General features: G+C 50.4%; 1 protein-coding gene across 12 annotated transcripts in view, besides 1 other annotated feature; it reads right to left on the reverse strand.

Annotated features, from left to right (window-relative positions):
* The window catches only part of CHRNB4 (cholinergic receptor nicotinic beta 4 subunit), a 37,531-nt gene continuing 26,224 nt past the window's right edge, over positions 3,111-14,417 (reverse strand). For 6 of the 12 annotated variants that reach the window (XM_011521187.3, XM_011521186.3, XM_011521191.3 and 3 more), the window contains 4 exons: positions 10,288-10,332; positions 10,076-10,185; positions 7,967-8,945; positions 3,111-4,291 (listed from right to left, as the gene is read on the reverse strand). In XM_011521187.3, the coding sequence (XP_011519489.1) occupies positions 4,133-4,291; positions 7,967-8,945; positions 10,076-10,185; positions 10,288-10,332 (1,293 nt within the window). In that variant the 3' untranslated portion in view covers positions 3,111-4,132. The other 6 variants (XM_011521190.3, XM_017021889.3, XM_017021888.2 and 3 more) reach the window with 6 other exon arrangements.
* Positions 8,339-8,838: an enhancer, noted in NCBI's record as "H3K4me1 hESC enhancer chr15:78921681-78922180 (GRCh37/hg19 assembly coordinates)". NCBI's record gives its function as "activates a minimal SCP1, AML or CMV promoter by ChIP-STARR-seq in naive H9 embryonic stem cells {active_cell/tissue: H9 hESC(naive)}" and the evidence as "EXISTENCE:reporter gene assay evidence [ECO:0000049][PMID:30033119]".

Below are 14,417 nucleotides of genomic sequence, written 5' to 3' on the forward strand. Positions count from 1 at the left end.
CTGCGCCAGGCGCGGGCGGGCGGGCGGGCGTGCGCGGGGCGGGGCGTACGTGCGGTAGGGGAAGGGGCTCCAGGTCCCAGTCCCCAGCGCCGGGCGAGCTCCTTCTCCGCCGGGCTGGGTGCTCCGGCCGGCGGCGTCCGACCAGATCTGAGCAGGTGCTGTCACCACCACCAGGAAGGAGAGGGACTCAGTTTCTGTCCCAGGTTTCCGGGGCGTGTGCAGCTCCCGCAGGGGGTTGGGACCACCGGGCTAGGCGGGCGCCGTAGGAGAGACGCTAACACACCCTGGGAAGGACGCCTTGTGTATCTCATGCTATTAAATAATTGTTAAATATTTTAGCCGGGAGCAGTGGCTCACGCCTGTAATCCCAGCCAGCACTTTGGGAGGCCAAGGCGGGCGGATCACGAGGTCAGAGACCATCCTGGCTAACATGGTGAAACCTCGTCTCTACTAAAAATACTCTACAAATTAGCCCGGCGTGGTGGCAGGCACCTGTAGTCCCAGCTACTCGGGAGGCTGAGGCAGGAGAATGGCGTGAACCCGGGAGGCAGAGCCTGCAGTGAGCCGAGATTGCGCCACTGCACTCCAGCCTGGGTGACAGAGTGAGACTTCATCTCAAAACAAAACAAAACAAAACAAAAAAACTTAGATATAGTACTGGTATTTTTTTTTTAAGTCCTTATAGCTTAGGGGTGGGTGGAAGTTAGTTGAAACAATATTGGCTATGAGTTGATAATTGTCGAGGCAGGATGATGGTACCTGGAGGTTTGTTATACTGTTCTCTTAACTTTGGAATACGTTTGGATTGTTCCTTAATGAAAAATTTTTTGGGGTGATCAGACCCAACCCCAGGCCATGGGGGTGACAAAGTCAGGCGGAGTCAAAAGAATGAGAAAAGACAAGAGAGAAAGCGGGACCAGGCGGCCAACGTATGGAGGCTACGAAGGCCCCCAGCTGTGGGAGCCCACGCTATTTATTGGTGATCAAAGAAACAGGTGGTGAGGATGTGGGGGTTGAAAGGAAGCGGTGTATCAAGCAAATGAACTACAGCTGTGACGGTAGTTCACCTCCCATCCCAAAGTGCTGGGATTACAGGCGTGAGCCACTGTGTGCAGCCTCATCTGCTCTTCTGATGGAGCAATCTGAGAGGGCAATGGGGTTCCCACCCTAGTCCCCTGCAGAACCTGTCCCCTTCCCCGCCACCATCTGCAACCCCAAGAATGTGCACTGATTGGCCAGGCAGGGTGCCCTGGAGCCTCCTGCCCTCTCTGACCACCCACCAGGGATGGGGGGCACCTTGATGTTGGCTTCTTTGACATCCTTTTATTGCAGGAGGAAGTTCTGTCATAAACTCTCCTCCTGGCATTCAGCAAATGGAGAGTCACCTTTATCATTTCCAGAATGTGCTGTTTACCCATATTAAAACCAAACAAAAGGAGACAGTTTGTGGAATGGAAAATGTAAGAATTGGGACCCACCTCTCAGGCCTCCAATTACAGCATTCTCAACTCTTGGCAAATGTCCCCCATTGGGACAATACTGTAAGTTATATATCCAACAAAGGACTTGTATCCAGAATGTATAAGGAACTCTCAAAACTCAACACTAAGTGTAGATGCATATGAGGGGTCTTACTGGGGTGATGCAGATGTTCTAAAACTGGATTCTGGTGGTAAGCTTACGACAACTCTTTGAATTGTACTTCAAATGGGTGGATTTTATGGTATGTAAATTATACCTCAATAAAGTTGTTTTCTAAAGAAAGTCTCAATGGTAAGAAAACGAACAATTTTTTAAATGAGCAAAAGAGTTAAACAGACTCTTCACCAAAGAGGTATACAGAAGACAAAAAAAAAAAAAAAAGCACGTGGAAGATGTTCAAATCACTAGCCATCAGGGACACGCAAATTAAAACCAGGGTGGAATCCAGTTGCTGAACAACTGGATCTCTCATACTTTGGTGGGATTGCAAAATGGTATAGCCACTCCAGAAAACAGTTTGACAGTTTCTTTCTCTTTCTTTTGTTCTTTTTTTTTTTTGACAGAGTCTCGCTCTGTCACCCAGGCTGGAGTGCAGTGGCACGATCTCGGCTCACTGCAACCTCTGCCTCCCAGGTTCAAGCAATTCTCCTGCCTCAACCTCCCGAGTAGCTGGGATTACAGGTACACACTACCACACCTGGCTAATTTTTGTATTTTTAGTAGAGACAGGGTTTTACCATATTGGCCAAGCTGGTCTTGAACTCCTGACCTTAGGTGATCTGCCGCCTTGGCCTCCCAAAGTGTTGGGGTTACAGGTGTGAGCCACCATGCCCGGCCTCAACAGTTTCATATAAAGTTAAATATACACTTACCATATAACCTAGCAATCACCCTCCTGAGTGTTTAAATAAATGAAAACTTTTATTCATACACAATCCTATATGTGAATCTTTATATTAGCTCTATTCATAATTGCCAAAAACTGGAAACAGCCTAAATGTGCGTCAACATCATACCACTGAACACTCCTCAGCAATACGAAAAAAACCCAACTTGATTGAATCTCGAAGGCACTATGCTGAATTAAAGAAGCCAGTCTCCAAAGGTCACTACTGTATGATTCCATTTAAATGGCATTCTTGAAAAGACCCGACTGTAGTGAAGGAGAAAAGATATGTGGTTGCCAGGGGCTAGGAGTGCAGGGAGTCAGGACTCTAAAGGAATAGCAGGACGGAGTTGTTTTGCGTGACAGATCTTTCCTGGGTCCTGATTGTGATGGTGGTTATACCAATCTATACATGTGTTAAAATTCCTAGAACTATATATTTAAAAGTCAATTTTATTGTATAATAATTTTTAAAACAGAATTTTTTAGAACATCCTCCTCCATTCCACAAATATTTTGAGTGCCTACTACATGCCAGGCACTGTGCAAAAGGCAGTATGTGCGAGGAGTGAATCAGAGCATCCGTGTGGGAGACAGACCTGAACCCAGCCATGAGAGAGAAGTGGAAAGTGACCAGCACCGCAGTCATGGAGGAGCAGGTCATGCCTTTCAGATGGGGGAACTAGGGATGGCTGCTCAGAGGAGGGGCATCTGGACTTGAAGGAGGGGTAGGAGCCATTCATTCATTCAACAAACATTTATTGAGCACCTACTGTGTGCCAAGCTCTGTCCTAGGCCCTGGGGATACTACCACGAATGTGAAGGAGCAGGTCCCTGTTCTCATGGAGCTCACACTCTAGTGGGTGAGCTGTGGATGACATACATGCCACCAGATAAGAGCGACAGGTACACAGGAGTGCTCGAGGAAGGAGGCAGGGTAACGTGACTGTAGGGAGGCTGCTTTAGAATGATTGGGTGGTTAGGGAAGGCCTCTCAGAGGAGGTGACATTGGAGCAAAGAATGGATTGGAGCCATGCCCTGACTGATGTGGCTGTGGAAAGAGCTTGGGAAGCCCTGGGGGAAGAGGAAGAAGGTTCAGGTAGAAGATAGGGAAGGCCAGGCATAGTGGCTCACACTTGTAATCCTAGCACTTTGGGAGGCCGAGGCAGGTGGGTCATTTGAGGTCAGGAGTTCGAAATCAGCCTGGCCAACAAAAATACAAAAATTAGCTGGGCACGGTGGCGGCTTTCTGTAATCCCAGCTACTTGGGAGGTTGAGGCAGGAGAATCACTTGAGCCTGGGCGATATAGCAAGACTCCGTTTAAAAGAAAAAAAAAAAGATGATGATATGGCAAATGCCAAGCCTCTGAGCTGGGAAGAATCTAGAAGTGTGTGAGGAACTGGACAAGGGGAAGTGGAGAGAGATGGTGATGGAGAGGCAGGCCGGCACCATGCCTGAAGCATAGTAGGTGCTGCTACGAAGTCATCTTTATCCCCATTGCCCGGTGCAGGGAAGGAAGACAGGCCAGAATTGAACTGTCTGAAGCTCCCTCCTACTGGGGCTTCCTGGGATCCCTCCAAGGCATTCAGAGAGGACAGCCCAGGCCCCCATCCTTGCCTGTTCCACGGCTGTGGCTGGTTTGATGGGGTTGATGGCCAATGCTCACATATTTACTTAGGGCCTCATCAGCCACAACCCAGAAAGAAGCAGCAAAGTGCCCACCCGGCCACTCACATCCTCTCACCCCACAACCCAGGGGGCCCTCAGTCACGCTGGGCAGCGTAGGGCCCCTCAGAAGCTGCATGGGTCTGGAAGAGGGGCGGTAGGAAGAGCCCCACAGTGCCCAGGACGCACACAAACATGAACACCCACAGGAACAGCCGGTCCACCACCATAGCCACGTACTTCCAGTCCTCAACGACCTGCAGGCAGACAGAGGAGTTGGTCACAGGTGCCAAGTACTGGGGTCCCTCCTTTCCCCGAGTCAGGCCCTTACTCTCTGGCCAGGGACTCCACAGGCCACAGGCGTGGAACTGCATACTAGGGGGGCAAGTTCTGAGTCCCAGGCTGGCCTCCCAGCTGGGCAGCTCTGAGCCTCTCTGGCTGTTCTCCACCTCCACCCCTGCCTGTCCCCCACAGCGTTGGAGGGGCACTGGGAACTTGGGCTGTACAGAAAAGCTAGGAATGTGAGGGCTTGTTAATACTACATATTATGATTTGAAAACAAAATCTGGTTATACATAGGAGATAGGGCCTGAGGATCTCAAAGCCCCAACTTCTCATTTTTACCCCAAACTCACTGCCTGAGCTGGTTCTAGCTAAAGAAAGAACTAGGTGGCTCCCACCTAGTTCAGTGAGAGCAGAGAAACCGGGGCTTACAGAACACCTGGAAATCCTGCTGTTTAATTTGTTCAAGTCTGTTCACAGCAGTGTCTGTTTCCTGTAATTAAGACCCAGCCTCCTCCTGCTGCATCATTCAGGTCTCTCTGGTCTTCTTAGATCCTGCTGCGGGGTGTGAGGTTGGCAGAGACCTGGCTGGCCTCCAGAGGGGCCACCAGAGATGGGCCTGTCTCCTTTGCACTGGGGGAGAACCTAGAGAAACGCCTGTGTGCCCAGGGTCCTGGCCTCCCTCGCCGATGCCTGCTTTCACACCCCTAGGCCTGGCTGGCTCACACTGCATTCATTCCCTGGCAGAGACGGGCTGGATCAGAAGGCTTCGGAGATCAGCAGAGGCTCTGGAGTTGGAAATGTGGGCAGCAACGGGCATGCTGACGTCAGTGACCCAGTTTGTCAAGGCCCTGTCAATGGTGTACCTAACGTGCAGGCTAATCCTGTGTCAAGCCAACCCCGACACCTGCAACCAAGCACGCCTGCACCTGTCCCCAAGACTCAGCAGGCACACACAGCTCTCTCCACAGAGCACTCCTTGGCTTTCCTGGGTTTCTTTTTAACAGCCCTAATTTCAAGCGGGGGTGTGTGTGTGTGTGTGTGTGTGTGTGTGTGTGTGTGTGTGTGTTTCCCCCTTTTAATATTTTTGTGCTATTTATAGTGACCAGTTAATCAGGGTGGGTAAAAGTACTGAAGATGAGAAGCGGCGTGGGCTGGCTTAGGGGCAGGCATGCTCTAGAAGGGAAGAAAGCCTCTTTTCTCCAACCATCCATAAGAAAGTCAATCAACCAATAAGCCGGCCATGTGCTCAGTGCAGGGCAAGAAACTAGGAAGGGCAAGAAAGTTTAAGGATGACAGGCAGATCTGGGTACAGAGCCTGGGCCAGCTGTTTGACACTGGCCAAGTCAGTGAACCTCTCTGAGCTTCGCTTTGAAAGCCTCCTTATTGTAAATGGGGGTTCTACTAAAAGCCACTTCACAGGATTCCAGGGAGGGTTAGCAGTAATGTATGTCAGCTCCCAGCAGAGCACCTGATGTGTGATTGGAGCTTAATGAACACTGGTGATTATAATAACTGGTCCTGCCTGGCTCCTTCCCTTAAGAGGCTTGTAATTAATTGAGCTAGAAAGAGCAGAAGGCACGTGAGTGCCAAGGGGGTGGTGAGGTCTTCAGAAGAGTTCAGGGTGGGTGCCGGCTCAGCCAGGGATGCAGGAGACCAGTACTTCTCAATCTAGAATGTGCACACGAACCACCAGGGATTGGTTAAAAATGCAGGCTCCAATATGTCTCCGCCAGAGATCCTGGCTCAGTCAGAAAGGGTGGTCCCACAGTGTTGCCCACGTGGTTCTCACTTAGCCAGCAGGGCCCCAGGCTGCACATTAATGATTGGGAACCAATGAATTAGGTGATGCTGACCTACAGAATGATTTAACCTAAGTAATAGCGTGATCGAATTAACGTTTTAGAAAGTGAAATCTGAGAGTCCTATAGAGCTGTGCTTCTCAAACTGCAATGGGTCTGGGAATCTCCTGGGGACCTGGTTAAAATGCAGGTTTGGAGCTAGCAGGTCTGGATTGGGGCCTGAGACTCTGCATTTCCGATAAGCTCGCAGGCGATGCCGGTGCTGCTGGTCCAAGAACTACACCAGAAGAATATCTCATGTCCTATATTCCATTTGTTTGCATTTCTCTTCTTTTCTTGGCACAGTGTGATTCTGGGGCTGTTCCTGCTCTTTTCTCTGTGGGCTAACTAATGGAATGCCAGCGCTTCTCCTTGAGAATGCAGCGAGTGGAAAGCAATCTCAAAACGGTAAGAATGAGACGTCCACTTTTGTCCATGCAGCTGCACAGGGGCAGACACCATGTTGCATAGTAAAAACCTGTCCAAAGAATCTGATCTGAAGGTGTTAATATGAGAACATTCACAAGAGCATGAAACTTGCTCTCCCTCCTGGTATGGAAATGGGTGTGAAAATTTGTCACCACCACATTCTGTGTTGTTACTATGACATTGTCCTTAGAAGTGTTATTTATTCAAAGGAGTCATGTGAAATACCCAGACTCCAGCACTCATTGCTTTATCCTGTGAAAGTAAATTAAACCTCTTTTTAAAAAATCCGTAATTCTAGGTCAGGTTCGGTGGCTCAAGCCTGTAATCCCAGCACTGTGGGAGGCTGAGGTGGGCAGATCACCTGAAGTCAGGAGCTCAAGACCAGCCTGGCCAACATGGTGAAACCCCGTCTCTATTAAAAATACAAAAATTAGCCAGGTGTGGTGGCAGGCACCTGTAATTCCAGCTACTTGGGAGGCTGAGGCAGAAGAGTCACTTGAACCTGGGAGATGGAGGTTGCAGTGAGCCGAGATTGTGCCACCACACTCCAGCCTGGGCGACAAGAGCAAAACTCCATCTCAAATAAATAAATAAAATAAAAATCTGTAATTCTAGTTAGCACAATCGATTAATTCATTACCCTGGTAATCATAGTATTTTTACTGATGTTCCTATAGCCCTGGAAGCTATAAGTGCTTGAATGGCTTCTTTGCAAGTCTGAACAGAATAGGGCAGATGCGCTTGGTACCCCAGCCCGCCTGTGTTCCCTAAAGCCTGCAGAGTCACTTCCCAGCCTTCCATTTCTGGCACCCGCATTTCCTCTCTCCTCTGCCTCAGGGCTTTCTCCAGCACCAAGGGTGCTTGTTCTGGCAGGCTGGCATTACCTGGAAGCACAGGAGAGTTAAAGTCCTGGGGCTACCCTCATCCTTTAGGGAATGGGGGCTGGTGGGTAAATACCTCAGCCTCCTTCCAGGGGGGTGATCCTGAGGCTTGTTCCCACGGGTCTGCAAGGGTACTGAGTCCCGGGTACCCACGGCAGTATCCTGCTCATTCATTCTCCTTTCCCTGTCTCACTTTCCCTCCTTCCTCACTGTGCTTCCCAGGATCACATCTCAAGTAAACCACCTGCACCCAAGTCCCCATCTTGGCGTTTGCTTCTGGGACACCTAAAACAAACAAACTAAATCACTGGCACGTCCTTCCTCTCCCCGGATGCATGAAGCTATAATATTTAACACAAACTCATTTCAATTTTGGATTCCTTATTCAGAGTTTGAGAGTCCTTGTCTCCTATGAATTAACTGCAGGAAGTGGGAAGCTGGTGCTACTATCTGAGCCCTTTCTGTTGGGCAGGTGGGCAGGGGCTGGTTAGCAACTTACACTCTGGTCTTCATCGTCATTCTTCATGTGCTGGGCGATGAAGCTGACACCTTCTAATGCCTCCTGCACATCCTGTCGGAACCTCCCAGAGGACCGCAGCCAGAAATCCCTGGGGATAGCCACCGGGGTAGAGCCGGCTGGAGACTTGGAAGCTGCAGAGGCGGGGTTCACAAAGTACATGGAGTTCCCATAGAAGTTGGAGGGGCTGGTGGAGGTGGCGGTGGCCTCGGGCTTGGTCACGCATGACTTGCTGGGCGGGAAGGCTCTGGCCGGGCTGCTGTCGGGGCCAGGGCGCTTCATGAAGAGGAAGGTAGGCAGCTTGTGCAGGAAGCAGCGCTTGACCCAGGGTGCCATGGTGTGGGTGCTGGGCGAGCGGTGGTGCACATTGAGCACACAGACGCTGGTGACGATGGAGAAGGTGACCAGCACCATGGTGAACATGAGGTACTTGCCGATGAGAGGCACATCGAGGGAGGTGGGTGGCACGATCTTGGAGATGAGCAGCAGGAAGAATGTCAGTGCCAGCAGCACTGAGATGCACAGTGTCATCTTCTCGCCGCAGTCGGATGGCAGGTAGAAGACGAGGATGGCCAGCAAGGTGGTGAGCACGCAGGGGATGATGAGGTTGATGGTGTAGAACAGAGGCTTGCGCTTGATGATGAAGTCGTAAGTCACGTCCACGTAGCTGGGGTCTTGTGGGTTCACTGTCCTTCTCCCTGGGAGGGCCACTATGTCCCACTCACCACTGGGAGTAAAGTCATCCATGCTGGCTGTGGGCGTCATGAGGACCATGTCTATCTCCGTGTGGTCATAGGTCCAGGAGCGGAACTTGAGGGTGCAGTTCTGCTGGTCGAAGGGAAAGTACTTCACCTCAATCTTGCAGGCGCTCTTGTAGATGGCAGGGGGCAGCCACAGGACGCTGCCGTTGGACCGGACTATCAAGTTGGTGTAGACAGACACCTCATAGGTCCCGTCGGCGCTGGGCAGGGTCAGGGCATGGAGAACATCGTGAAACCCATACACAAAACCTGGCCTGTTCTCAGAACTCACTGAAGAGCCCTTTGGGATTATTTCCCACTAATCACCCTTCCAATCCCCCAGGCCCTCACTGAAAGGAGGGGTCTGCTTTTGTTAGCAACTATGTGGTGGAGAGAGCCCTAACATCAAAGCACCCCCCTTTTTTTTTTTTTTGAGACAGACTCTTGCTCTGTTGCCCAGGCTGAGTGCAATGGTGCAATCTCGGCTCACTGCAACCTCTGCCTCCCAGGTTCAAGCAGTTCTCCTGTCTCGGCCTCCCAAGTAGCTGGGATTACAGGCATGCGCCACCACGCCCGGCTAATTTTGTATTTTTAGTAGAGACGGGGTTTCTCCATGTTGATCGGGCTGGTCTCGAACTCCTGATCTCAGGTGATCCACCCGCCTCGGCCTCCCAAAGTGCTGGGATTACAGGTGTGAGCCACCACACCCGGCCCATCAAGCACTCTTAAGGCTTCCCATGGAATAGCTCATTTAAGCCTCTCAGTAGTCCAGTGAGGCAGGTTTTATTATTATCCCCATTCTACAGATGGGAAAGCCAAAGCCCAAAGAGGTTAAGTGACTTCTTCAAGGTCAGAAAACTTGTAAGCAGGACAGCTGAGATTTGAACTCAGGTCTGTCTGTCCCCAGACCACACACTTTGAGCCATTTCAAGCTACTGCTGGTGTAATCACGACTCAGGAAAAGTCTCTTTGGCTTCCTCCACCTGCCTAAGATATTTACACACAGTAAGTCAGTGGTACCAACACCAACACTGGCAAAGCAACAGAGGCTCAAAAGGATAGTATGGAACACAGAAAGGGTGCTGGGTTCAAGGTCAGGACACTGCTGTGGTCCCAGCTCTGCTTCAGTGAATCAGACAAGGTCCCTCCCCTCCCTCAGCCTCCAACTCCCCATCTGTAACTGAGGGCTCTGGCTCTGCTCACCTCTGTTTCTCTTCTAGCTTGATGGCCTGGAAGGCTGGGTAAAGCAGAGATGGGGCTCAGGGTTGGACTCAGGCCTGGATGACTCTTAGGGCTGGGCCTGCTGCCCTGGCCTGGCTGTCACCAGGCCTCCACCAACCCTGCCACTCACTTGTTGTAAAGCACGATGTCAGGCAACCAGATGCGCTTTGCAGGGATCCTCAGGATGTTCACACCCTCGTAGCGGGAGCTGTTCCAGGTCAGGCGGTAATCAGTCCATTCCTGGACAGACAGGCAAGGCCCTGTCACTTGCAGGTCCACTGCCACCAAAGGGCAGCCCTAAAGAAAAGATCTCTGGGGCTCAGGGCCCTTCAGGGCACTTACCTGTTTCAGCCAGACATTGGTGGTCATGATCTGCTCTCGCTCATTCTGGGGAGGGAAACGGGGCTATCAGTTCACCAGGAAGGAGGAGCCTCACAAATGGATTGCACTTTATTGTGCAAAAGGCTGTGAGCTCCAGGCCCACGTGACCAACTGCCACCCCAACATCTCTTGGATGGCCCAAAGGCATGTCACACTCAGCATGTTTGACACAAAGCTCATGATCTTCCCCAGAACCTGGTCCTCCTTTGGCTTCATTGTCTCAGTGAATGGCACCCCTAGCCATCCAGTTCCACAAGCCAGAAGCGTGGACACTGTCTCTGACACTTTGCTCTCTGATCCATCAATAAGTCTTGTAAGCTATATCTTCTAAAGCAACTCATATTTGTCTGCTTCTCTCCACCGCCACCATCATCTGTCACTTAGACTACCGCAGGAGCCCCCTAACTGGTCTTCCTGCTCTGTCCTGGCCTGCCTTTAGTCTATTCTCTACATGGTAGCCAGGGTGATCCCTTTACAATCTCAATCCCTTCTACTAATTGTTCTGCTGCCACATCTCATCCAAAGTAAAAGCCAAAGTTCTGCTTAGAGTCCACAAGGCCCTAGTGATCTGCCTCCCCACCACCCCTCATCCCATTAGCTCTATGACCTCTTATCTCAACACTCCGCCATTTGCTCATTCCACTTCCCCTGCACTGCCTCTTTGCTCCTGCACACACTGTTCCCTTTTCCTGGAAACCCCCTGGGATGCTTCCACACTTTATTCTGTTATCAGAAATGTCATCCTATCTGAGAAATCTTCCCTGACCTACATAAAATAGCACCTCGGTCCCTGCCCTGCCTTCTCTTTTTCTTTCTTTCTTTCTGTCTTTCTTTTCTTTTCTTTCTCTTTCTTTCTTTCTTTCTTTCTTTCTTTCTTTCTTTCTTTCTCTTTCTCTCTCTCTCTCTCTCTCTCTCTCTCTCTCTCTCTCTTTCTTTCTTTCTTTCTTTCTTTCTCCCTTTCTTTCTTTTCTTTCGTGTGTGTGTGTGTGTGTATTTCTTGAGACAGGGTCTCACTCTGTCACCCAGGCTGGAGGGCAGTGGTGTGATCTTTGCTCACTGCAACCTCCACCTCCCAGGCTCAAGCGATCCTCCCACCTCAGGCTCCTGAGTAGCTGGGACTACAGGCACAGGCCACCATACCTGGCTAAATTTTAAAAAATTTTTTGTGGAGATGGGGATTCATCATGATGCCCAGGCTGGTCTCAAATTCCTGAGCTAAAGTGATCCATGCATCTCAGCCTCCCAAAGTGCTGGCATTACAGGTACAAGCCACCTCACCCAGTCTCCTTATTTTTTTTTCGTAGCATTTCTCACCCCTAAACACCATCTATCTATCTGTGTATTGTCTGCCACCTCCCACTAGAATCTAATGGCTATGAGAAAATAAGGCAGATAGAAGAGTATGTAACATGTTGGATACTCCATAAATATTTTTTGAATATACAGGAATCCTACCATAATAATCCAGGCCACCATAATCCATGTCTCACCTGGACCATGTAAGACCCTCCTAACTGGCCTATGTTCATTCTGTACACCACCACCACCGCCACCATACACACACATACATCTCTTCTTCGTACGCAGCCCAAATAAACCTTCCAAAGTTCCTGTCATTTCCTCCCTCAATTTTATCCCTGTTTAGATTAATTCCTTGGCTTCCTTCACCTACAGAATAAAAATCTTGCTCCTTCGCAGGGTCTACGGGGCCTTGCCAGGTTTCCCAGCCTCACTTCACCTCCCTATGTCCCTCTGTTCTGTCCTCCAGCCCCCTGGCCTTCTTTAGTACTTTGGATAAGTCTTGTGTTCTCAGTCTGTACAATTTTGGTGCCTCTCCTTTATCAAGATAACTTCCAGCATACTGATCTCACTTTGGGAGTCATTTCCTCAAGGAACCTACAACTAGATAAGATTATCAGTAAGATAAGGTTTGGCTGCCAGTAACAGTGATCCAGAGTAACACAGGCTTAAATAAAGTAGAAATTCATGTCCCTCTCATGTTAACACTTTAGACATATATGGCAGTTCTGCTCTACAAAGTTCTGATAGGTACCCAGATTCTTTCCAACTTTCTTCTCCACCATACCTAGAGTGTGGCCCTCATAAGAATGGATCAAAATAACTGTTGGAGCTCTAACCACAAATTCCACATTCCAGGCTGTTGGTGGGAAGGGAGGAGGGAGAAGAAGAATGCATGGCAATTTGTCTCATTTTGATTAGAATATTTAGGCCATTTACATTTAATGTAGTTACTGATATATTTGGGCTCAAACTTACCCCCTGAGCTTCCACAGCATCAGATCTGCCCCCCTGCATACCCCCGATCTCTTGCCAAGTGGCATTTGGGTCTTTATGTCATTTTCCTCACATGTCTGGGAGTAAAGACGAGGTTCAGGGACTTGAGCTTGTGTACTCTGGTGTCTTCCAGGAGAATGTGTCAAGTACAGGGGAGATGGCTTGGAAAGAGGAAGACTCAGAGGAGAGTCAAGGACATCAAAACAGGCAAGCCCAGGAGCAGGAAAAGAGATGAGAGTCAGCAGAGGAAACAGTGCTGGGGCAGGGGAGCAGGTGGAAGGGTCAGGGAATAAGGGGGGCTGGAGAGGTGGGGGTGGGGATGCTGGCGAGGGAGTGCCTGGCTCACCAGACTCTGGAGTCAATGACAAAACAGCTGCTTTGACAAGCCTGCTTTCCTTACCCAGCCCTAAATCCCTACCTGCTCTCTAAAAATTTCCATCTTTAAACTGGTTGTACCTATAACCCTCCCTCCTCAAATAAATAAACAAACCCTGGCAACCCACAACCTAATATTTACTGTATACACAAGCTTTCGGAAATATAACTTGCATGGGTGGGGGCTGGTGGCCGCATCCCCTCCTCCTTCTGGTAGCCGCTATCACCCTATAGGGCCGGCAGAGCAGATCTGACCAGGTAGCCTGAGTCTGGAAGTGCGGCAGAGCCTCCTGCTCGTTCACCCTCACTAGGGCAGCAGCTGCACCGCAGCAGCTGGGTTCAACTCATTAAGCAAGAAGCCCTGGGCTGGACAATAACACTCAGACACCAGCCTGAGCAAGCCTGGCTGAAAGCCCTCCTTCCTTCTGGTCCGACTACGGAGGGAGAGGGGCAGAGAGTACACAGCTCTCCAGCCCTCCCCATCCTGGGGCTGTGCGTCCTCCCAGGAGATGGAGCCAGTCATTAATTTGGCCAAAGCCTTCCTGAGGGCTGTAGGTTTGACAGGCTGGGTGTGTGTGGGCCAACCGTGCTAGAGAGAGAGTCTGGCATTTCAGAAGGCAGCTACCTGGCCAGAGGAGGGTCAGCCCCCTTGGTGGTCTCTTTCCCCTGGCTGGACACAGCGCCCTGCACTCTCCCCTTGTGAATGTTCCCCCAGAGCTTCTTCCAGGGACGGAGTTCTAACCCTGTGGATGGGGACATGGGAAGGTTTACAATAGGCCATGGTTCCCTCTGACATCTCCAACTCAGAGGCAGCAAAGAGAAGAGAAATTCCCAGGCACCTCCTCCCTCAGCACCCCCACCTCTGCCCCACATCCACATATGGACAACCTGACAATGGTACCTGTGAATGCTGCCATCCACTCCTCCTTTCCATGCCTGCAGCAGCCACGCCCACTGTCCATCCCTCACCAGCCTGGCTCAATAGGTGCTGCACTGCCTCTGGTCCTGCCCCTACACCTGGGCCTCTCTGTACCTATCAGTTCCCCCAGTCTGGTTTTTACTTCTCCCAACAAGTAAGAAGCATGTAAGGTTATCTGAGCAGTCTAGGGGAGAGAATAGGGTGGGGCTGTAAAGACAAGGAGGAGAAGCTTATGGTCATGCTGGAGACCCAGCTGAGCAGAGTCTACAGCAGGCCCATTGGCTGCCTACCCAATGGTCATCCTGCTCCTACCCTCATTTCTTCTTTGTTAGAACAAAATCATGACTTCATTAAATATTGGACACCTATGAACTTCATGGACCCTTCTGCAGCCTCCCTGACACGTACTGGTAAGTCTAAGTCAACTATAGTAGTTTCATTCCTTTGACCAATGATCGCCTGGGGCTTGGGCATGAGCGGCCTCTCCACCTGAGCCTGAGCC

The sequence above is a fragment of the Homo sapiens genome, chromosome 15, assembly GCF_000001405.40.
Source record: "Homo sapiens chromosome 15, GRCh38.p14 Primary Assembly".
Taxonomy (NCBI): Eukaryota; Metazoa; Chordata; class Mammalia; order Primates; family Hominidae; genus Homo; species Homo sapiens.